General features: G+C 45.7%; 1 protein-coding gene across 16 annotated transcripts in view, besides 3 other annotated features; it reads right to left on the reverse strand.

Moving 5' to 3' along the window:
- Positions 1 to 24,236, reverse strand: part of SLC20A2 (solute carrier family 20 member 2) — a 125,480-nt gene that overhangs the window by 35,104 nt on the left and 66,140 nt on the right. For 10 of the 16 annotated variants that reach the window (XM_017013748.2, NM_006749.5, XM_005273613.4 and 7 more), the window contains 4 exons: positions 20,524 to 21,076; positions 14,199 to 14,339; positions 11,427 to 11,512; positions 8,318 to 8,414 (listed from right to left, as the gene is read on the reverse strand). In XM_017013748.2, the coding sequence (XP_016869237.1) occupies positions 8,318 to 8,414; positions 11,427 to 11,512; positions 14,199 to 14,339; positions 20,524 to 20,812 (613 nt within the window). In that variant the 5' untranslated portion in view covers positions 20,813 to 21,076. Of the gene's footprint in view, positions 1 to 8,317; positions 8,415 to 11,426; positions 11,513 to 14,198; positions 14,340 to 19,488; positions 19,624 to 20,523; positions 21,077 to 24,236 lie in introns of those variants that run through there. The other 6 variants (XM_024447237.2, XM_006716390.5, XM_047422124.1 and 3 more) reach the window with 2 other exon arrangements.
- Positions 11,733 to 12,027: a silencer, noted in NCBI's record as "tiled region #15103; HepG2 Repressive non-DNase unmatched - State 15:Elon". NCBI's record gives its function as "represses a minimal TATA promoter and a strong SV40 promoter by Sharpr-MPRA in HepG2 cells {active_cell/tissue: HepG2}" and the evidence as "EXISTENCE:reporter gene assay evidence [ECO:0000049][PMID:27701403]".
- Positions 22,859 to 23,370: an enhancer, noted in NCBI's record as "H3K4me1 hESC enhancer chr8:42331955-42332466 (GRCh37/hg19 assembly coordinates)". NCBI's record gives its function as "activates a minimal SCP1, AML or CMV promoter by ChIP-STARR-seq in primed H9 embryonic stem cells {active_cell/tissue: H9 hESC(primed)}" and the evidence as "EXISTENCE:reporter gene assay evidence [ECO:0000049][PMID:30033119]".
- Positions 23,371 to 23,882: an enhancer, noted in NCBI's record as "H3K4me1 hESC enhancer chr8:42332467-42332978 (GRCh37/hg19 assembly coordinates)". NCBI's record gives its function as "activates a minimal SCP1, AML or CMV promoter by ChIP-STARR-seq in primed H9 embryonic stem cells {active_cell/tissue: H9 hESC(primed)}" and the evidence as "EXISTENCE:reporter gene assay evidence [ECO:0000049][PMID:30033119]".

The raw sequence follows: 24,236 nt of genomic DNA on the forward strand, positions 1-24,236 counted from the left end.
GGAAGAGGAAGAGATGGAGGAGGAGGAGGAAGAGATGAAGAGGAGGAGGAGGAAGAGATGAAGAGGAAGAGGAGGAAGAGATAGAGGGGGAGGAAGAGATGAAGAGGAGGGGGAGGAAGAGATGAAGAGGAGGAGGAGGAAGAGATGAAAGAGGAGGAGGAAAAGATGGAGGAGGAGGAGGAAAAGATGGAGGAGGAAGAGGAAGAGATGAAGAGGAGGAGGAAGAGATGGAGGAGGAGAAGGAAGAGATGAGGAGGAGAAGGAAGAGATGAAAGAGGAGGAAAAGATGGAGGAGGAAGAGGAAGAGATGAAGAGGAAGAGGAAGAGATGGAGGAGGAGGAGGAAGAGATGAAGAGGAGGAGGAGGAAGAGATGAAGAGGAGGAGGAGGAAGAGATGAAGAGGAGGAGGAGGAAGAGATGAAGAGGAGGAGGAGGAAGAGATGAAGAGGAAGAGGAGGAAGAGAGGGGGAGGAAGAGATGAAGAGGAGGGGGAGGAAGAGATGAAGAGGAGGAGGAAGAGATGAAAGAGGAGGAGGAAAAGATGGAGGAGGAAGAGGAAGAGATGAAGAGGAGGAGGAAGAGATGGAGGAGGAGGAGGAAGAGATAGGAGGAGGAGGAAGAGATGGAGGAGGAGGAGGAAGAGATGGAAGAGGAGGAGGAAGAAATGAAGTGGAGGAGGAAGAGATAGAGGAGGAAGAGATGGAACAGGAAGAGATGGAGGAGGTGGAGGAAGAGATGGAGGAGAAGAAAGAGATAGGAGGAGGAAGAAATGGAGGAAGAGGAGGAAGAGATAAAGAGGAGAAGGAGGAAGAGATGGAGGAGGAGGAGGAAGAGATGAAGAAGAAGAGGAGGAAGAGATGAAGAGGAGGAGGAGGAAGAGATGGAGAAGGAGGAAGGGATGAAGAGGAGGAGTAGGAAGAGATGAAGAGGAGGAGGAAGAGATAAAGAGGAGGAGGAAGAAGAGATAAAGAGGAGGAGCAGGAAGAGATGGAGGAGCGGGAAGAGGAAGAGATGAAGAAGAGGAGGATGAGGAGGAAGAGATGAAGAGGGGGAGGACGAGGAGGAAGAGATAAAGAGGAGGAGACAGAGATGGAAGAGCAGAAGGAGGAAAAGATGGAGGAGGGGAGGAAGAGATGAAGAGGAGGAGGAGGGGGAGGAGGCCGCAGGAGGCCGCAGAGGCAGGGGCAGGCATGTCTCAGGTACAGACATGCTCTGGGAAAGTCAGGAACCAGGCCTGGTTAAGTTGGGAATTCCTTTGCTGGTGGAAACGAGTGAGCAAAGGTTGGGTTAGGGTTAGAACTTTTGGGAGTACCCATTACATTAGAACGGTAATGAGGAAGCCACGTTTCTGGTAAGAGACGTGCCTAGAGCAGTGGTTCTCAAACTGTAACATGCTTCCAAATCACTGAGGCTCCCCTATTAAACCACAGGTCACTGGGCTGCATTCTGTGGGTCCAGGGCTGGGCCTCGGAATCTGCATCTTGACAAGTTCCTGCATGCTATTGCTGGCCAGGGACCACACATTGCCTTAGAAGGTGCCTACCAGAGGCTTAACTGGGTGACCTGCTTCGACTGTTCAAAGGGGCATGCCATGAACTTTAGCATTCACTGTTTAAACACTGAACAAAAACCAGGCCCCACACAACTGAAGACTTTTTCATTAAAAATGAAGCTTAGGCTTGTATCCAACCCAAGTAAGCATTTTATTTCCTAAAGTTATTTTTTAGTCCTTGCAAGTCATTTTTTTAAGAACAAAAATGCAAAGACAATTTTTTAAAAGTGCGAACTTAGTCTTTGAAGTGTAAGAATGACTTTTGAGAAAAGTCATGTCAAATGTAAAGTAACACAAATCAAACTAAGCCTAAGAAATAATCAACTTCACAATAATTAAGAGTAGAGAAGCAGAGGAAATCAAAACAAAACACCAAAAACACGAACTAGGACACCACGGCTATTAATGACACAGCTGGACTCGCAGAGATACCCCATATGAGGAAACAGTATGTAATGAAAGTCTACATTGAAGGACAAAATACCTTCAAGGCTTACATAAAAATAAGATTTTGACTCACTCACTGGACATTCTAGAAACATTCCCCTGGAATCAAAATATTAGCAAAGTCCTTTTTTGACTCATCGGAGGAACAAAATGGTGGGACCTTCAGAGCCATGACCTTCTCCTCTAGGCAAGCCCCTTGAGAAACTTCAAGTAAGAATTTTTCCATACAAAGATGTGTGGAAAAACAGAAGGACAGGATGACTCAGGAGTTTCTGGCAAGTTAAGGCCAAAAGACTGGGTTAGGTTAATTATGACTGATGGTAACAAAACAGCCTCTAACAGGCACGGTTGGCCTTCTCCGTCCATGGTTCAGCAGATACTGGCGGCCAACTTAAGGGACTTGAATATCCATGGATTTTGGTATCATTTTTTTTGTTTGTTTTTGAGACAGAGTCTCGCTCTGTCTCCCAGGCTGGAGTGCAGTGGTGCAATCTCAGGTCACTGTAAGCTCCCCCTACTAGGTTCATGCCATTCTCCTGCCTCAGCCTCCCGAGTAGCTGGGACTACAGGTGCCTGCCACCACGCTGGGCAAATTTTTTTATTTTCAGTAGAAACAGGGTTTCACCATGTTAGCAAGGATGGTCTCGATCTCCTGACCTCATGATCCGCCCGTCTCGGCCTCCCGAAGTGCTGAGATTACAGGCGTGAGCCACCGCGCCCGGCCGAATTTTGGTATCTACGGAGGTCCTACAGCCAATCTCCGAGGAGAGGGAGGGACCAATGACTGTATGAAGCATTGATTATGTGCCGGGCACTGTGCCAGGTACCCCACCTTCATTATCTCAGGGACTATAGTGTCCCTCGAACGGAGATGCTACTCCTGGCCTTACTTTATAATCAGGAATAAGACTTTGGGAGGGGAGGTGATGTCACATTCCTGACAGAACAGCCACCCAACTACAGAACCTAACGCTAACTTCAGGACTGGGAATAAATACTGGTTGTGCTTCGAGGGAATAATGAACTTCAAGATCCTTACACAGATTTTTTTTTTTTTTTGAGACAGGGCCTCGCTTTGTCATCTGGTTGAGTGCAGGGCCACGATCATAGTTCACGACAGCCTTTACTCCCTTATACAGATTTTACAATTATTATTATTATTATTGTTATTTTGGTAGAGATGGGGTCTTGCTATGTTGCCAAGGCTGGTCTTGAACACCTGGCTTCAAGTGATGCTCCTCCTCAGCCTTCTTAAGTGCTGGGATGACAGGTGTTAACCACCATGACCAGCCCAGATTTTTTATATTCCTAATTAGGAGGTGGCTGCTTCTTCACACTAACTAGTATATTAAATATGTACAAAAATAGCTGGGCGCGGTGGCTCACACCTATAATCCCAGCACTTTGGGAGGCCGAGGTGGGCGGATCACCTCAGGTCAGGGGTTTGAGACTAGCTTGGCTAACATGGTGAAACCCTGTCTCTACTAAAAATTAAAAATTAGCCAGGTGTGGTGGCGTGCGTCTTGTAGTCCCAGCCGCTTGGGAGGCTGAGGCAGGAGAATCCCTAAACCCAGGAGATGGAGCTTGCAGTGAGCTGAGATCACACTACTGCACTCTAGCCTAGGAGACAGAGCAAGACTCCGTCTAAAAAAAAAAAAAAAAAAATATATATATATATATAGAGAGAGAGAGAGAGAGAGAGAGAGAGAGAGAGAGCGTGCGCATGCACTCCAGGTTCCCAAATATACCAGAAGACATTTTAAAGAGAGTTAAGAGAAGAGAAATAATTTGTTAAGGTTGAGGCTGGGCGCGGTGGCTCACGCCTGTAATCCCAGCACTTTGGGAGGCTGAGGCGGGCAGATCATGAGGTCAGGAGATAGAGACCATCCTGGCTAACACGGTGAAACCCCATCTCTACTAAAAATACAAAAAATTAGCCGGGTGTGGTGGTGGGCCCCTGTAGTCCCAACTACTCAGGAGGCTGAGGCAGGAGAATGGCATGAACCCAGGAGGTGGAGCTTGCAGTGAGCCGAGATTGCTGGAGCCTAGGTGACAGAATGACACTCCGTCTCAAAAAAAAAAAAATTTGTTAAGGTTGATGCAATTTTTATTATCATTAACTGCTATATTACATACCAGGTATTATATGTAGTGTTTTAAACTACCTCCCACATCTGTATAATGTCACAACTAAGACCCCAGGGCTCAGGACTGGAGGCATGGTTCAAATTCTGGTTCTGCATCCTATTAGTTACAGGACCTTGGGTATTCAGCATTGCCCTGCCTCAGTTTCCCACCTGTAAAATGAGGTTATTTGTATTGCCAATTACCAAGAGTAGTTGGGAGGACTAGAAGGATTAATCCACATAAAGCTCAGTTCAATACAGTTACATTATTTATTTCTCACAACAACCCTATGAAGTATTTATATTAGTATTTATATTATTCTTAGAGTCTCATTCATCACACAGTTTAATTTTCCCTAGGATAATTTACTCTCCCAGTAAGATGATATTTTTAGCGAATGTGCCAACTGCAGCCAAAAGATGGGGGAAAGAAGAGATGGAAAAAAAAGGCCATGTATAGAAAAAGTCAGACTTTTATTAAAAATCGTAATTGTCTTCTGACAGTTGGAAGAAGAACCAGGAAGCAAGAAGAATAGAGGGTAGAAAAAATAAAATGCAGAAACGAAAAAACCCCATCCATATTGATGCCAATTCCCATGTTCAGGACTTGGCACCACAGAAGGCGTCCTCAGCTTTCACTGGCTCAGTCTCTTAAGTCAGCAACCTGGGAGGCGTCTGGTGATTGCAGGAGGCTTTGCTTTCTGTTCAGCTAACTTGAACTCTAAAAGCCCATATAAAATAAGAACAAAGGGCAAGGTGCAGTGGCTCATGCCTGTAATCCCACTTTGAGAGGCCAAGGCAGGCGGATCACGAGGTCAGGAGTTTGAGACCAGACTGGCCAACATAGCAAAACCCCGTCTCTACTAAAAATACAAAAAATTAGCCAGGCGTGGTGGCAGGCGCCAGTAATCCCAGCTACTTGGGAAGCTGAGGCAAGAGAATTGCTTGAACCTGGGAGGCAGAGGTTGCAGTGAGCTGAGATCATGCCATTGCACTCCAGCCCGGGAGACAGTACGAGACTCTGTCTCAAAAAAAAAAAAAAAAAAAAAAAACAAGGACTAAGATATCTCCCGTTACAGAGTTCACTTCCAACCCAGTGCTCCAGGCCTTCCAATTACCTGGCATTATGAGATGTTTGAGGGATTCACATGCTAGGTGGTGCGCTTAACTCCATGGTTTGGAACTGATTTTTCTCTGTCACTCACTTAAAACAAATTTTTTTGTTTTGTTTTATTTTTGAGATGGAGTCTTGCTCTGTCGACGAGGCTGGAGTGCAGTGGCGGGATCTCGGCTCACTGCAATCTCCACCTCCCAGGTTCAAGTGATTCTCCTGCCTCAGCCTCCCGGGTAGCTGGGATTACAGGTGCCCGCCACCATGACCAGCTGATTTTTGTATTTTTAGTAGAGATGGGGTTTCACCATGTTGGCCACACTGGTTTAGAACTCTTGACCTGGTTCAAGTGATCTGCCTTCCTCAGCCTCCCAAACAGCGGGGATTATAGGTGTGAGCCACCGCGCCCAGCCTCACTTAAAAAAAATTTATCCTGGGGCACATACTTCAAAAAGCTGTGACAAACACACTTCCTGGTCCATGAATTATATAACCTAAAGGGGCAGCAGGCTGCTGTTACCTGTGACTGGGATTTCACCTTCCTCCCACTCTCCTCATCAATCTAACTTTGCTTCCTGCTTTCCTAGAACCTAAAGCAGCTCTGGCACTCCCCTTTCCTTCATCCGCAAATCACCCAAAGTCTGGAAGCCCCACAGTGAGTATTTAAACTTTTTTTTTTTTTTTGAGACAAAGTCTCGCTGTGTCACCCAGGCTGGAGGGCAGTGGCGCAAGCTTGGCTCACTGCAACCTCCACCTCCTGGGTTCAGGTTCAAGCAATTATCCTGCCTCAGCCTCCTGAGTAGCTGGGACTACAGGCGCGCACCATCACGCCCAGCTAATTTTTGTATTTTTAGTAGAGACGGGGTTTCACCAGGTTGGCCAGGATGGTCTTGATCTCTTGACCTTGTGATCCACCCACCTCGGCCTCCCAAAGTGTTGGGATTACAGGCATGAGCCACTGCGCCCGGCTGAGTATTTAAGCCTTTAAGATCAATGTTCTGAACACTACACAGATACCACAGTAAAAGGTTATATAATGTTAGAATCATTTAGGAATACTTTATTCCCAGTACTGAAACATATAAAATATAATTAGATATTCTTAATAAAATCTGAGGAACATTACATTGAGAACTCCTAGTTTGAGAAAGTAATAAGGATTTCCACTATTTTGGAAGAGGGCGCTTTTCGATTATGATAGGACATGTCATTTAGCAGAAATTTCATCTTTAAAACACAGAGAGGGAGCCTTTTCTGTCAACATGGCCAATAACCAAATCTTCATCCATAACAGACATTAAGAAGATGAAAACCAGCACAAACTAACACATCTGTTGATGTCACAGATCCCACAGTCTGGCTGTAGGAGGCGCATCTCACAAACAGAAGAGGAATATTCTCTAGCAAACATGTACAGAAATGTTTAACAGAATGCTACTAGCTCATCAGTGCTGAAATGGGTGCAAACAAGAATACCATACATAAGCTTATTCATTTTCCTATTCAAGGTCTAAAAGAAAAGAATTAGGCCAGGTGCAGTAGGGCTCACACCTGTAATCCCAGCACTTTGGGAAGCTGAGGCAGGAGGATTACTTGAGGCCAGGAGTTTGATACCAGCCTGGGCAATATAGAGACCCCATCTCTACAAAAAATAAAAAATTAGCTGGGTGTGGTGGCACACACCTGTGGTTCCGGCTACTCAGGGGGCTGAGGTGGGAGGATTGCTTGGGCCCATGAGGTCAAGGCTGCAGTGGGCTATGATTGCACCACTGCATTCCAGCCTGGGCAATAAAGAAAAAAAAAAAAAAAAAGGCCGGGCATGGTGGCTCATGCCTGTAATCCCAGCACTTTGGGAGGCCAAGGTGGGGCGGATCATGAGGTCAGGAGACTGAGACCATCCTGGCTAATATGGTGAAACCCCTGTCTCTACTAAAAATACAAAAAATTAGCTGGGCGAGGAGGAGGGCGCCTGTAGTCCCAGCTACTCGGGAGGCTGAGGCAGGAGAATGGCATGAACCCAGGAGGCGGAGCTTGCAGTGAGCCAAGATAGCGCCACTGCACTCCAGCCTGGGCAACAGAGCGAGCCTCTGTCTCAAAAATAAAATAAAATAAAAAATAATTTTTAACCCCCCCCCCCACAAAAAACCTCTGAACCTTTATACAAAAGAACAAAAGCGGCCAGGCGCAGTGGCTCACGCCTGTAATCCCAGCACTTTGGGAGGTCGAGGCAGGCGGATCACAAGGTCAGGAGTTCGAGACCAGCCTGGCCAACATAGTGAAAACCTGTGGTGTGCTCCTGTAATCCCAGCTACTAAGGAGGCTGAGGCAGGAGAATCGCTTGAACCTGGGAGGCGGAGGTTGCAGTTTTCCAAGATAGCGCGATTGCACTCCATCCTGGGTGAGAGAGTGAGACTCTATCTCAAAAAAAAAAAAAAAAAAAAAAAACATAAAAAATAACAACAAAATCCATGAGAATGACAAGGAAAGGAGTAATTCAGCAAAGAAAATCATCATTGGCTTCGGTATCTAAAAAAACAAAGCATGGCTTCTAGTCTCTGGATAAACTGGTCTGATATTTCCAGGGGTCTGTACTCTGTGCTGTGAACGGCTTTAGAGCTCCGCTGGGCATTGCTGATGTGTGGACTGTCCCGCTCACTGGGTGCCAGGCATGGCCCCAGGTGCTCCACACCCTCTCCTGACCCCTGCACAACCCTGTAGGCCTGTGGGATTAGATCAGGTTCTGAGGCTCAGAGAGGCTAAGCTATAGTGGCAACACAGCTGCGTAAATGGCAGAGTGGGGATTTAATTTTTTTTTCTAACTTGAAAGTCTGTTGCCTTTGTACTCTACATATCTCTTGGGTATTTAATTAAGACAAGTAAATGCATTTACCACTCTTTTTACTATTCTATAATGACCATGAGTAACGCATTTTACTATCAGCCAACAACTCCAGCACCTATTCCATAATGACCATGAGTAATGCTTTTTACTGTCAGCCAACAATACCAGCACCAAATAAACTGATACTGTTAGAATACAATGCACTTTGCCCCTGGAGTATGCTTCCAAGGGATCCTTACCTGGTGCTCCTGTGTACATGATGGAAAAGACATTGATTGCTATGGTAGCAGCATAGAATACTGGGAGTGCCCGGAGGCCATTGGGAACAGGGTCTTCCTGTAGGAAGACAAGGAGACAGAGTGGAAGGTCAGGATCCCAGCAGCATTTGGAGCCAACACAGACAAAATGATACAAAATACTGTTACAAGAAACTCTTCCCAAACCCCAGTGTGGCCAAAAGGATGGGCGTTGTCACTGCCTGTGATCTGCTCCACTTCTGCAGAAATGGCATTGGCTGGGGCCATCTCTCCCACACAAATGCAATGTCAAAGAGCCCACTGTTGTGGCCAGCAGACACATTAAAGCCCTGGAATCACATGAGCTGATGTCAGACTTGGAAACAGAAAAGATCTGTTGGGTCAAGCCGGTTCCGGAGGACCAAAGCCCAGAGCTCAGCATCTCCTTCCTCAAAACCCATAGTGCTCACTACAGCCAAGTCCAGGTTTGGCCCTAACTGGCTACATTCAACAAATAATTTGAGATTCCAACCTCCAAGCATCCTCTAAGAGAGTCAGATGACTTCAGCATCACTGCATTACCATGAGATTTTACAACACTCTATTACACAATGCATCTTAGCTATGTTACCATGTGCTATGAATTTCCGAATCTTTTCCCAAGGTATAGTATTTAACCTTCGACTATTAGAAGTTAAAAAGAACTGCAGTTCCTTGTTGAATAATTTATTTGCCATTCGACATTTATTAACTACTTTAGGCTTCTGCTACAACACTCCCTAAATCTAGTAAGTTCAACACGAATGGTACTGCGCATGTTTTCAGTTAAATAACATCTAAGAGAATATGAGGCATTTAGAGTTTTTAGCAGATCTACAGAGAATTTTGAAGTAAAAATACGGGCCAGAAACTCCCATCAATGTAACACTGGCACACAGATGTGGCTCAAATAATTCAAAAAGGGGCTAACTTCTAATAACCACGAAGGCCACATTTACATGAACATGCTACCTGCCATGATAAAAGGAAAATTAGGTCTAAAAATCGATGACAGCAGCAGAAGTATGGATAAGCATCTCAAAGACTGCTACTGCCAAATGCAAACACGCCTGGAAGTCAAGTATGTTTGCAGAACAGTACAGCCCATCAAGGAGCTGTTCTGGAATGTCTCAAGGAGCCAAGAGCACTTGTCAAGAGGCTCGAGTTGAATGCAGTGAGGCGTGATGCAGCAAGAGCAGGGCAGAATGAGACTCAAGTGTGGGAGTGTCACACCAGACCAGGCAGGGGAGGCAGCCATGTGGCAAACACCAAGATTAATGGGCTGGAGCCTGGCATGAGTGACACAGCCAGCTATGATCATCTGTGATGTATCACGTGAAAAGAACCCAGGATGAACTGAAAACAAAATGCTGGGAGGCTCAATGACTATGACCTATGCCGTTTCCATGGCATTGTTTTCTTAGGGACATTGCTAAAGAGAGATTCCCAACCAATAACTTCTGCAGGTGGACAGCCCCGAGTCTGTGTTTTCAATTAAATTACCGTATGTTTTTTCAAATATCTTTTTTTTTTTTTTTTAGACAGAGTCCCACTCTGTTGCCCAGGCTGGAGTGCAGTGGTGCAATCTTGGCTCACTGCAACCTCTGCCTCCAAGTTCAAGCGATTCTCATGCTTCCGCCTCCCAAGTAGCTGTGACTACAGGCATGCACCACCATGCCGGGCTAACTTTTTGTATTTTTAGTAGAGATGGGGTTTCGCTATGTTTGCCAGGCTGGTCTTGAACTCCTGACCTCAAGTGATCCACCGCGCCTGGCCTAAAATAACTTAGTCTTGAAACTCATTGACAGACTTCTTGTTTGACCTGTCTCCTTTCTTCCCTCCACTTTCTTTCTCTCTCTCCCTCCCTCCTTTCCATCTATCCATCCCTCTATCTGCCACTCATCCAAGCATCTGTCATTCCCTCTGCCTAAATATTTACCAAGTGTCTTGTAAGTGCTAAGCACAGTGCTGGGCCCTAGAATACAGAAGTGGCCAGGGCAGTCATGGTTTCTGCTCTCACAGATCTTACAGTCAAATAGTGAACAGGCAACTAAGCAAGAAATGCAGCACCATATGACATGCTAAGTGCCGTGATGGCAAGGTGGACTGTGGCCGGAGCTCAAAAGAGAGGGGACCAGGCGAATCTGGGGGAGGGGAGGAGAGGAGCAGCTTCCTAGGAAGTGACACCTAAGGGCGGAGTAGGGCTTGCCAGGTGAGCATGGATTCCAGAGACAGGAGGGGAGGGGTGAAGGCTGGCAGGCTAGAGAGGGGTGTGCCTTCCAATATGTGAATATGAGTGTTCCTGGTCCCAGGAGAAGGAAGGGTGAGAAACGGTGAGGGCAAGTTGGTGCTCTCCGAGAGAATGGACCCTTCAACAGATGGCCAAGCAAGGCTGCAAGAAAAGGGCTGCGCCAGCTTCCAAGCAAGGTACAACCTGGAGGGTACGTCCCTGCCTGCAGAGGAAGCATGCACTCAATAGTTATCAAACACTGCAGCAACCCTGTGACTGCCAAACAAAAGAAGATAGCCACGTTTTGTGTCTAGAACACTGATCTCAGTAAGCACTAATTTTTTTTTAGACAAGATGTACCCAATAGGTGTATTTCCTTCTTTTTATCCTTTCCTCAAATTGCGTCAGTGTTTCAACCTTGCTCTCTCCATTAAAAAAAAAAAAGGGAACACACCTTCACATTTGGGTGAGGAAATTCTCCAGCTGTTTTTTAATGACAGTTTCAAAATCTTAACACTATCTCATTCTATTCTGCTTAACATTCAGGAAATAATTACCTTTCCTTTTTGAGGTCTCAGCACAACTCCTGGGAGTGTTGATTAATGAACTAAAGTACAGAGCCAAGAAACACTATTTGCAGTGCTTGTTTCTGGGGGACTCTCTGGGTAATTTACCTTGGCTCTTTCTGGCTATTTATAATAACATCTGACGCTAACTGCAGGGTGCTGTGCCTTGACAATGTATGAATACAATTATTCCTCTAACCCCTCTCATTATTAATTTCTACTGAGTAGAGCCAAAAATAGTTCTTAAGATTTAATTAAAAGTAGCAGCCCCACTTACCTTTTTTAAGATGAAAATTCTGATGAGTACAAACAGCAGGCCAGACATGAAACCAGACAACAGTGGAGATATAAACCAAGAAGCAACTGAATAATTAAAAAAAAAATCTAATGAATGTTAAAATTCATTCATAATTATGGTCCTATTCATAGAACACAATGATAAACAAAATGTATTACATACATTCATAAGTATTTCCAGAATTATTTACCTTTAATTCAGAACCTAACAAGCCCTGTGACTTGGCAGAGCTGACCTTCACACATTTATGGCCACACTCAGACATCAACACACAGTCACACACCACTGACCACACTGCCAATGCAGGGTCAAGAAACCCCTGCCCCAAGCTCGGGCCTCAGAAGACAGCATCCTGAGTCCTGCCTCCCACGGAGTCTTTCTGCCTGCCCTTCTTATCAACACATATGGAGACTCTGTTGCTGTTCCAACAGTAAGGGTTATTTAAAAGCTGGGCCAACTTCCATTTCCTTTGCCAAGGCCAGCCGGGTACTTTCATTCCTGCCATCTAGCTGCTGGAACTCTGAAACTTTTAGCCTCTAGCCAAGTAGTTCCCGCCTCTGGGTGCACAGTGGAACCATCTGGGGCATTTTCAAAAACTCGTTTGGCCCTGGCTGGACCCCCAGAATTCTGATTTAAAAGGTTGGGAATGGGGTTTGGGCATTGGTATTTTTCAATCGCTTCCCCGGGTCATTCTAAAGTACAGCCAGAGTTGAGAACCACTGTTCTAGAAGCCTGGGATGGAAGGTGGGTTTCCTTGTGGTTTGTGCCCCTGCCTGGCAGCTCAGGGATCCCATTTGACCCAGGACTCCTAAGGTCATCATGATTCTTGTAAAAAATTGAGTAACCCAGAATATGGAAATGGAGTGAAAGAGTATCGTTCACGATGGGTGGGATGGTATTTGTGGAGGTGAATGGATTTACCTCTTCCTAAAAGCAGAGCCAGGCACTAACTTGTTAGACACCTGATAATGGGTGCAGGCTTACGTCTTGGTCCCTGCCAGGCAGGCTTACAAGGTAGAGAGGACAGTTGACAGAGTGTTTCTTCCCAAAGGGCAGGCTGGATGATCTTTTTTTTTTTTTTTTTTTTTTTTTTTTTTTGAGACAGGGTCTTGCTCTGTCACCCAGGGGCTGGAGTGCAGTGGCATAATCATGGCTCACTGCAGCCTCAACCTCTGAGGTACAAGTGATCCTCCCACCTCAGCCTCCTGAGTAGCTGGGACTACAAGTGCGCACCATCACACCAGGCTAATTTTCTTTCTTTTTTTTTTTTTTTTGTTGTAAAGATGGGCTCTTGCTATGTTGCTCAGGCTGGTCTTGAACTCCTGGGCTAAAGCAATCCTCCTGCCTTGGCCTCCCAAAGTGATGGAATTACAGGCCTGAGCCACTGCGCCTGACCTGGATGATCTGTTGAAGGCAGGGACATAACACGGGGCTCACTTTGAGGCTTCCCCAAGACTATGAACTCCTGGATTCCAGGCATCTTCCTCACTTGTGCTCAATCTTTCTCTGACCTATAGACTGACTTCAGTCTAACACATTTCTTACCTGCCTGGGAAGAACAGAGGGTGATTTCCAAAGCTGGATGACAAGGTAACATTTCAAAAGAATAGAGTTAAACAACTGTCCAGCACATAATAGTTCACTATCTCTATTAACAGGAACTTTGGCCAGGTGCGGTGGCTCACACCTGTAATCCTGGCACTTTTGCAGCCCGAGGCAGGTGGATTGACTGAGCTCAAGAGTTCAAGACCAGCCTGGGCAACATGGTGAAACCCTGTCTGTACTAAAATACAAAAGAAATGAGCTGGGCGTGGTGGCATGTGCCTGTAATCCTAGCTACTCGGGAGGCTGAGGCAGGAGAACTGCTTGAACTCGGGAGGCGGAGGTTGCAGTGAGCCGAGATTGCGCCACTGCACTCTAGCACTCCAGCCTGGGTGCCAGAGCGAGACTCCATCTCTACAAAACAAAACAACAAAACATAACAAAACAAAACAAAAAACAGGAATTTTAAGGGAAAATATATTACTCATACCATCTACGTCTTTTTTTTGAGACAGAGTCTTGCTTTGTTGCCCAGGCTGGAGTGCAGTGACTCGATCCCGGCTCACTGCAAACTCTGCCTTCCAGGTTGAAGTGATTCTCCTGCCTCAGCCTCCCTAGTAGCTGGGATTACAGGTACCTGCCATCATGCCCAGTTAATTTTTGTATTTTTGTAGAGATGGGGTTGAACCATGTTGGCCAGGCTGGTCTTGAACTCCTGACCTCAGGTGATCTGCCTGCCTTGGCCTCCCAAAGTGCTGGGATTATAGGCGTGAGCCACCATGTCTGGCCCATCTAGGTCTTTTAAACCTTAACATTTGAAGAAAAAGATATAAAATTAACCTGTGGCTGGGCACGGTGGCTCACGCCTATAATCCTGGCTCTTTGGGAGGCTAAGGCAGGCCGATCATGAGGTCAAGAGATTAAGACCATCCTGGCCAACATGGTGAAACCTCATCTCTACTAAAAATACAAAAATTAGCAGGCGTGGTAGGAGGAGCCTGTAGTACCAGGTACTCAGGAGGTTGAGGCAGGAGAATGGCTTGAACCCGGGAGGTGGAGGTTGCAGTGAGCCGAGATTGCACCACTGCACTCCAGCCTGGCAACAGAGTGACACTCCGGGTCAAAAAAAAAAAAAAAGTAACTTGTAATAAAACTTACTCTAGAAAATGTAAACTTTCCTTCTTATGGGTAAAAGAAAATGCCAATTACCAATCTTGACAAGCTCCATCCACTGCACACCTTTGGTACCGATTGCGACCAGTGAGAATCCTATAGTAGAACCCACAATGCAGTGCGTTCCTGAGATTGGAAGCCTCAGGAAGGAAGCAATCAGCTGCCACACAGCGGAACCTACAGATTGAAGGACAAAAAACCATCAGATACAGAGTACAGAGGTGCAGACACCAAGGGAAGAAATCCAAATGTTTTCCATAACAACATCTCCCAGAGTTTAATTTTCTGTGAATTGTTTCTTTACAAAGCGCTACAGCCTGGACAAAAATCACTCAATTAACTTCAGTTAAAGGAAAGCTTCTGCCTTCCTCAACACAGAGGGGACAGGGATGATGGTTATTTATTTATTTTTTGAAGCTAGTCCTGCTCTGTTGCCCAGGCTGGAGTGCAGTGGCCTGATCTTGGCTCACTGCAACCTCTGCCTCCTGGGTTCAAGCAAGCCCTCTGGCTAATTTTTGTATTTTTAGTAAAGATGGGGTCTCACTATGTTAGCCAGGCTGGTCTCGAACCCCTAACCTCAAGTGATCTACCCGCCTTGGCCTCCCAAAGTGCTGGGATTACATGCGTGAGGCATTGTGTCCGGCCAGATTATGCATTTAAAGGCAAGTCTCCTGGTGCTACACACTGACTGCCCTTGTCAGTTTTCAGTGAGGGTGCTGTGTATGAACTTGTTCTGGGGTGAATTTTGGCCAAAACCAAGCAAGAGATTAAAGTCTCGAATGAACACAGAAAGACTAGAAAGGCAATATATTGGGAAAAGATTTTGTTGTAGTTCTGCCTTACAGTCACATAATGAAAAGGACCAGATATTGGCTAGGTCATATTATCTATATAAGAGAGTATAATACCATGTTGCTTTTTTCTTTTCTTTTCTTTTTTTCTTTTGTAGAGACAGCGTCTCACTCTTGCCCAGGCTGGAGTACAGCTGCAAAATCATGGCTCACTGCAGCCTTAAACTCCTGGACTCAAATGATCCTCCTGTCTCAGCCTCCCAAGCAGCTGAGATTACAAGTGTGCACCACCACACCTGGTTAATTTTTAAATTTTTTTGCAGAGACAGGATTTTGCTATGTTACCCAGGCTGGTTTGGAACTCCTGGCCTTAAGCAATCCTCCTGCTTCAGCCTCCCAAAGCCCTGGGATTACAGGCATGAGCTGCCACACTCAGCTAATTATTAAAATTTTTTTGCAGAGACGGGGGTCTTGCTATGTTGCCCTGGCTGGTCTTGAACTCCTGGGCTCAAGCCATTTTCCCACCATGGCCTCCCAAAGTGCTGGGATGACAGGCTCACTGGATGCAGTGAGCCACTGCACCCAGCCCATACTGCTTGTTGATGGTGCCTCTCCTATGAGAAATAACTATGATATTTAACCCAAATTTGGGCATCTGCTCTCAGATCCTACCCAGAATGTTGGACTTTTTATTTGTGTGTCTGATTCCTTGTTGTTAAGAGGTTCTCATTAGTGTTGGCTTTGTGTCCTTTTACCTCAATTTCACCAACTCTTTTCTAGGTTTCATGTTTTTCTAGGCTACAGTTCACTTCAAATATTTTCATAAGCAGATCAGATTTTGTAGTGAGTATTAAAAGCATCAACCGGGAGAGATCACTTTCAGAAGCAGTTGTTGAAAAGCTCCCATGGAACTGTAGGGGAACAAAGGGCCTGGCTGATAAGCTGGGCACGTTATTAATCCCAAACGTTAATTCTGGAAACCTGGTTGCCTGGCAGCAGCAGCACTTTTCAGGGGACCCCTGGCATTTCCTTCAAAGGCATCTGAGTTGCAGGAGGATCATTTATGGCTGTGCAGGACCCAGTCCATGAAGCAACACACACAGTTGCTGCCATGAGTGCTAGGCGTGCTGACCTTTGAGCTGAGGCTGGCTGTGACCCTGTGTCAATCCTTAAGGCGTGCGTTGGGAGGAGAAGGGGCCAGCCTTGTGCTGCCAAACCCATATCAGGCTCCATGGCAGCGCCAGGCCTACCCGCGGACACCTCCTTAAGCCTCCACATCTGAGCCCTGGGCTCCTCGGGGACTAGTGGTTTTAAAAAGAAAGCCAGGGTTTGGAGCACGTTTCATAGCACGGATTCATAGCTTAGAAAATACATGATATGGTTTATATTCTTTTTTTTTTTTTTAGACGGGGTCTTGCTCTGTTGCCCAGGCGCAATCTCGGCTCACTGCAAGCTCTGCCTCCTGGGTTCACGCCATTCTCCTGCCTCAGCCTCCCGAGTAGCTGGGACTACAGGTGCCCGCTACCACGCCCGGCTAATTTTTTGTATTTTTAGTAGAGACGGGGTTTCACCGCGTCAGCCAAGATGGTCTCAATCTCCTGACCTCATGATCCGCCTGCCTCGGCCTCCCAAAGTGCTCGGATTACAGGTGTGAGCCACCGCTACCAGCCTATATTCTTACAATTAAAATAATCTCATGATGTGAGACAGTGATATCAACCCACCCAATTGAATTCAGACCATAAGATTTGTCCTTCCTGAAAGCTGCTATATTTTCTGTGGCTGACTTTACAAAATACATCCTGGAGGAGGAGAGTTTGTAAAGAAAGGTAGGGAGTAATGGGACCACCTGAGAGAGGGAAGAAGGAGGAGAGAGGATAGCAGGGAGGGGAGGAGACAGGGGACAGCTGAGGGAGGGCCTGGTGGGGCCAGGAAATACCTGCAAGAGGGCCTGGGAGTAGGTGATAGCACCTTAGCCTCAGGGGTGTCTGAAGACAAATGGGATCATGTTAGTGTCAGGAAGAACAGAGGGAAAAAGACATACTTTAATGTAAGATAATGGCATCTGACAGAGGAAAGAGATGAAGCATGGGATAAGAGTGCAAGCCACGACCTAGGGAAAGTGGGGAGATGGGCATCTCAGAGGCCGCCATTCCCGTGCAGATGAAAGAAACGGCAGAGCAAAGGCTCAGGCTCCAGGGAGGCTGCCGGGCGGGGGTGGGGTGGCAGAGTGTGGCTGGGCAGAGGGAGCTGGAAGGGGGCTGTGTGCTTCTTAAGGGTTTCGAGGAGCTGGCTCGTTTGTGCTAGTGTGGGTCTTTCCACAAAAAAAGATGCAGAGTTTTGAATTCTCAGATTTTTGGAACCATTGGTGGTTTCCTACAAAATGGACAGACTACTGCTTTAGGGCTGAGCTAGTCCCACAAGATGACTTGTTCAGGACGTTTCACTGGCAGCAATAATTTCTACCCAATCACCTTAACTCTAACACAACTCTGTCAGGAAGCACAGACGCCCAGGGGCTTGGGGAGAAGTGACTAACAGAGAAAACAAAAGAAGCAAACAGAATAGAATTAAGGACAGAGGGAAAGAGGGAGAAGAAAAAAGGACTGTTGGATTTAGAAGAGGAAGACTGGAGAATTCAGGCATCTGGACAGAATCAGCTGTGGTTTTGGCCAATGGTAATTACACCACCATCTTAAATTTATAGCTCCCAGGGCAAAGAACCCGATTTTATGAATCTAGGTAACTCATACAAATTCCCAACAAAATAGGCTTTGAGATTCATTTAACCACATACCAAAAAAAAAAAAGTTTAAAAACCAAAGCAAACAAAATCAAGTTATTCAAGCAAAACCCCAAATTGCTTTGGTAAACCCAAATTCTAGTTGAGGTAAGTATCCTTCATTCTTTCAGTAAAGAGCCAAACGCCAGGGGTGGGGAACGGAGAAATGATCCCGTCTGCAGAAAGAGTGAGCAGATGAAGCCTTGTTCATGAACCCTTCTGTCACACGGAGGTCTTCAGCGTGGCTTCCCTAACAAATTTCTTTAATAAGCAGAACCATGCCTCTAAAGTTTATCCATCAAAAGGAAAAACTTCAGTTAAGACTTAACTTTGTGGCCGGGTGTGGTGGCTCACGCCTGTAATCCCAGCACTTTGGGAGGCCAAGGTGGGAGGATCACGAGGTCAGGAGTTTGAGACCAGCCTGACTAACATGGTGAAACCCCATCTCTACCAAAAATACAAAAATTAGCTGGGTGTGGTGTCGGGTGCCTGTAATCCCAGCTACTTAGGAGGCTGAGGCAGGAGAATCGCTTGAACCCAGGAGGCAGAGGTTGCAGTGAGCCGAGATCACACCACTGCACTCCAGCCTGGGCAACAAAGCGAGATTCCGTCTCAAAAAAAAAAAAAAAGATTTAATTTTGTCAGTGTTTTTCTTGATTTGTCCCATACTTTCAACACATCTAGTCAGATTTTCCTGACTAGAAAAATCTTAATTTCCACTTGATGGAATTAAATCTTAGATATCTATCACAACTAAAAAGGTGAATTTTACAAAGAACGGTTATTTTTCTAAGAGAAATTTCCATTATATCTGACTATGCTGAGATATACATATGTTCCATGAAGGTAAGTAAAATTCAATAATGACTATAGTTGTTGGAATGAAAGTGATCTTGAACCTGATTTTTTTTTTTTTTTTTTTGAGACAGGGTCTGGCTATGTCGCCCATGCTGGAGTGCAGTGGCACAATCACAACTCACTGCAGCCTCAACCTCCTGGGCTCAAGCAATCCTCCCACTTCAGCCTCCCAAGCAGCTAGGACTACAGGCATGTGCCACCATGCCCAGCTAATTTTTTAGTTTTTTTGTACAGACAGGGTCTCCCTATGTTGCCCAGACTGGTCTCAAACTCCTGGGATCAAGTGGTCTGCCCATCTCGGGGGCCTCCCAAAGTTGAACCTGACATCTTTACAACACAAAGCGTCAAGCTGAGAAGTAGGAGCTCCCTGGTGTGTGTTACTGGCCTACAGTGCTTGGTGAATATGCAATTCCTTAGTACAACAGGCTGCTTCTTATCAGACGCCTCGAACAACATGAGATTGGGCCATTGTGAACTTGGTCAATAATCTCTAAATTCCAGGTGTTTAAGAAATGTGACAGGCCAGGTGTGGTGGCTCACGCCTGTAATCCCAGCACTTTGAGAGGTGATGGTGGGTGGATTGCTTGAGGTCAGGAGTTCAAGACTAGCCTGGCCAACATGGTGAAACCCTGTCTCTACTAAAAATACAAAAATTAGCCAGGTGCGGTGGCACACGCCTTTAGTCTCAGCTACTCCGGAGGGTGAGGTGAGAGAATAGCTTGAACCCAGGAGGTGGAGGTGGCAGTGAGCGGAGATCACACTATTGCACTCCAGCCTGGGCCACAGAGCAAGACTCTGTCTCAAAAAAAAAAAAAAAAAGAAAAGAAAAAATGTAAGTGACAAAATAAAGAACTCGGGGGAATGTGGCTGTATTCTTAGTACACCAGCATCTTACCTCCTGCTGCAGGACTCTTCCTACAAGAGGATATGTCCTGTTGAAAGCAGAAGGTGGTAGAATTCCTCTCTAACCCTCTTCTCCCTAACCAAATTACCCGTATACATCAGCTGTCTGTTGTGTCGTCATCTCTACCTAGAGGCAAGCAGAAAAAGAATCCTGTCAGCTGCACTTAACACACGCCTGCCGGGAAGGTTCTTTTCTGTCGTAGCGAGGGCAGTGATGGGAAGACCCACGGGGCCGAGATCTGTGTCCGCTTAGGCCATGGGGACATCACTCTGTCCAACCAGCCACTCTGCTTATTCACACAGTTCACACACCTCCACACTTCATGTAGACAACTTGAAACTGCAATAAAAGGTCATGCTATCACCAGGCAACACGCACATTATTTTTTGGCCGGAAAACAAAACAAACATACCAAATGGAGCTCCCAGAGGTAGAATCAGAAAATCAAAACAAAAGCCAACAAAAGGATGACAAATAATGTAAGAGACCAGAATTTCTTGAAACACACGCACTTAAGATTTATTTGGTAACTTCTTTAGAACTTAAACTGTGAATATAAAAGTTAGACTAATAAATATTATTTTTGACATCCAAGTTTTCAAAACATTGCCTCCTAATTGATGAAAAACCTTAAGAAAAAAATCTAAATCAACCTTCCTGGAAATTTCATACATCAACCTTGAAAACACATTCACTTAGACAACCTTCAAACAACTCTAAAATAATAAAGCGCTGTTCTACAAAGGTCTTTTTCTGTACTTTCTGAAAAGTATTCACTTAGCTGAAATCTATTTTAGCAACCAAGTTTGCTCAAAAGTTCAGAAAATAAATGGTTGCCTGATATTTAAACACTTTAAAAATCATAAATTAATATGCAGAAAGCAAAAATAAGAGAGTAAATGTGAAACATCCAACCAGTTTTTGAAAAGCCAAAGCAAAAATCACATTTATGGATATGGGCAAAGTACTGCAGGGAAGCGGGTCAGTGGGCGGATGTCCCATCGGTATAGAGAAGAGGCTACTCACCAACCATGGCACTAACTTCCCCAGCCATGAGAGTCTCCACCGTCTCGTTGTACAGGTTCACGTCAATGATACCTTTGCGAATGGTTTCTCCTACTTTGGCGCCTAGTAACACGGAGCCGGTGGTTTCAAATATTGAAGCTAAAATGCATGCCTGCCTCAAGGTCACCACACCAGAGCCCACGGCTGTACCAAAGGAGTTGGCAACATCGTTTGCACCAACAGAAAAGGCCAAGATGAAAGCTATGATGAAACCCAAAATGACCATCCACAAATACTCATCCATGGCCATTTTGGAAAGTGGGTGCCGGGTACTTTTCTTTTGCAGGAATATTTTAAATAAACAAAGCTTGAGGTTATAAACTTCGTAAGGCCAAGAGTTCTTGTAAACAGTGAGTTTGCTCTGGAAAGTGCTGGACAATGTTAGAGGCTGGACAAACTGCTAGCTGCTGGTTTGCAAACTACTGTCAGGACAGTTCATTTGGTTGTGTTCAGTCAGCGGTAAAACACATTCCATATTTTTCCTCCCGATCTGGGAAAGCTGTGATGTCTCCTCCTGTAGCAGAAAGGAAACAAAAGAAATCAATTATACTCAGCAACCTGTAACAGTTTGTTCTTTCAGAAATAAATGTTTTAAGCCTGCTAATGGGATCTAACTTTGGCATGTGACGGACCTAACCATAAAGCAATTCAAGGAAGATTATAATTAGGATAACCACCCCCAACCAAAAACACAAAAAAACCTGCTTTCTAGAATTGTCAGGAGTTGAAGCATGCTTAATAATTACAGACTAATAGTAATCCTTACTAGGTTACATTTTTCATGCAATCGGAAAAACATATTTGGTCATTATTTTCAGAGAGGAACAAGTGCCTCAAATGAGCAAAAGATTAAGAAATGAGAAATTTAGTTGCATGGCTTTTCAAATATGTGGAATGTGTCCAGTTTCCTGGAACAGCAATAACCAAATCTGAGTCTGTGATACCACTGGGTGTGGCCAACGACCCACCTCCACATTTACGCATAAGCAATGAGCACAGTATATTATCATGCATGTGTCTGGGAGAGTTTACAGGCCTGGCGAGAGGTCACTCATCTGGAGGGTGACCAAGGCAGGAACTGACAGGCCCCAGAGAGGAAAAGAGAAGCCTGGAGAATGAGGCAATCCTATCACTACGCCACTATCCCATCTCACTAGGAGGAAAAGCTAGAGGCCCCGCCAGGGTCAGGAAGACCCTTCAGGCCTCCTCGCAGCTCACTGGCCTTAGCTCCTCTCCCCTCCCTCACAATGCCCTGGTGTCACTGTCCCCTTGCAATCCCTTAGAAAGACCAGGCACACTCTCACCTCAGGGCTTTTGTACCTGAGGATCCCTCTGCAGGAAGAATCTTCCCCCACAGCTGCACAGCTCCCTCCTCCCTGCATTCAGGTCCCTGCTCAAATATCACCGTTAAGAGAGGACTTCCCTGACCCCAGAAGGAGCAGCCCCTCCCCCATGCCACTGTTCCTGCTTCTGGGAGGGAGAGGAGATGCCATGAGATACATCCATGAAATAAAAATGTCACTGCAAGCTTCGTAATTATGGTATTCTATTATTGGAGAGCCAAGGCACTGTATATTTTCTTTGAATGGTATCAAGCATATAAATGCTTATTGAGTTGAACTGAATAAATACCACACCATATACAATATAATAATTTGACCCATCAATAAGGTTATTTAAAGGGAAAAATCAGGACACACAATTTTATGTACACTGTGATTATGGCAATGTTGAAAATGCATATAAAAGGCCGGGTGTAGTGGCTCACGCCTATAATCTCAGAACTCTGGGAGGCCGAGGTGGGTGAATCACTTGAGGTCAGGAGTTCGAGACTAGCCTGGCCAACATGGTGAAACCCCATCTCTACTAAAACTACAAAAATTTGCTGGGCCTGGTGGCAGATGCTTGTAATCCCAGCCACTTGGGAGGCTGAGGCAGGAGAATCGCTTGAACCTGGGAGGCAGAGGTTGCAGTGAGCCAAGATCATGCCACTGCACTCCAGCCTGGGCGACACAGCGAGACTCCATCTCAAAAATAAAAAATAAAAATAATAATGCATAAAAATACCCAGGGGTATATACTAAAATTATAATAGAGGTTGAATAGGAAGGTTAGAGACAATTTTTTCCTTTCCTCCCCAAACTGTATACTGTGGTTACATGCTTTTTAAATGAAAATAATATATAATAAACAAATCTACAAACATATTGAGCATCATCGATGTGCAATGCTATAGGCACACAATGAAACAGAAAATATACATTGATAGTTGTTATCATTTCTAAGATTTTTCAGCCTTTGCAATTTTGGAGATTCAGATCCCAAGTGAGACAAATGAAAAGACCACTCTAAGGGCAAAAGACAACATTCCACTGAAAGAGTATTTTATTAATATGACAGGCACACTAAATCAATGCATGAAAATCAAAACTTTAAAAATTGGGGGCCAGTATGATCTATCTCAAGATATAAACAAATTATTGATAAAATCTTGTTTCCCGGGCTACCTTGCCAATAGGACAAACATGAATAATATTCAATTATTGATTGAGAAATACGGCGATGAACAAAAATGGATGTGGTCCTGGCACATCTGGGAAGTCCAGTGAAGGAAACAGACACTAATCATAGCAACACATAAATGTCTATAAACTGGTGACAAGAACTATGCAGGCAGGAGACGGTGCCACACAGTGTCGTGAGAGCACAGCCGGCGGGACATGGTGTAGCAGGCAGCAAAGGCTCACCTGAGACCTCAGACGGCCAGAGTCACGCTGGGCCTGGTGTGGGGGGTGGGGGGGACACTCATTCCAGATGGTTCTCATGGTGGGAAGGAGGGGCCAGGAGGCAGGCCCGGGTGAGGGGAACCAGGATGAAGGTCGGGTGGGTCTGGTTAAAGACTGGCCACCATGTGGACAGTGGGGTGCCACCGAAGGGTTTTAATCAGAGAGGGGTATTGGCGTGACCAGACTTGGCTTTTCCTTTTTTTTGCTCTGTCACCCAGGCTAGAATGCAGTGGCACAAGCATGGCTCACTGCAGCCTTAACCGCCCAGGCTCAAGCGATCCTCCTGCCTCAGCCTCCTCAGTAGTTGGGACTACAGGCATGCACCATTATACCCTACTAATTTTTAAATTTTTTGTAGAGACGGGGTCGCCCTATGCTGCCCAGGCTGGTCTCAAACTCCTATCCTCAAGTGATTCTCCTACCTCGGCCTCCCAAAGTGCTGGGATCACTGGTGTGAGATACCATGCCCGGCCCAGACTTAGGAATTTTTCTGTTGTCTTTGAGACAAAGTCTCACTCTGTCACCCAGGCTGGAGTGCAGTGGCGCGATCTTGGCTCACTGCAACCTCTGCCTCCTGGGTTCAAGAGATTCTCCTGCCTCGGCCTCCCGAGTAGCTGGGATTACAGGCACCCGCCATCATGCCCGGCTAATTTTTTTGTATTTTTGTAGAGATGGGGTTTCACCACGTTGGCCAGGCTGGTCTTGAACTCCTGACCTCAGGTGATCCACCCCACTTGGCCTCCCAAAGTGCTGGGATTACAGGCGTGAGCCACCACACCAGGGCCCAGAAGATCCTTCTGGCTGCAGTGTGGCGACCACATTGGATACAAGGCAAGCAGAAACATGGAGGATGAGTCAGGAGCCCGCTGCATGGCTTAGGCATGAGAT

Source organism: Homo sapiens, chromosome 8, assembly GCF_000001405.40.
Source record: "Homo sapiens chromosome 8, GRCh38.p14 Primary Assembly".
In the NCBI taxonomy this organism is placed as follows: Eukaryota; Metazoa; Chordata; class Mammalia; order Primates; family Hominidae; genus Homo; species Homo sapiens.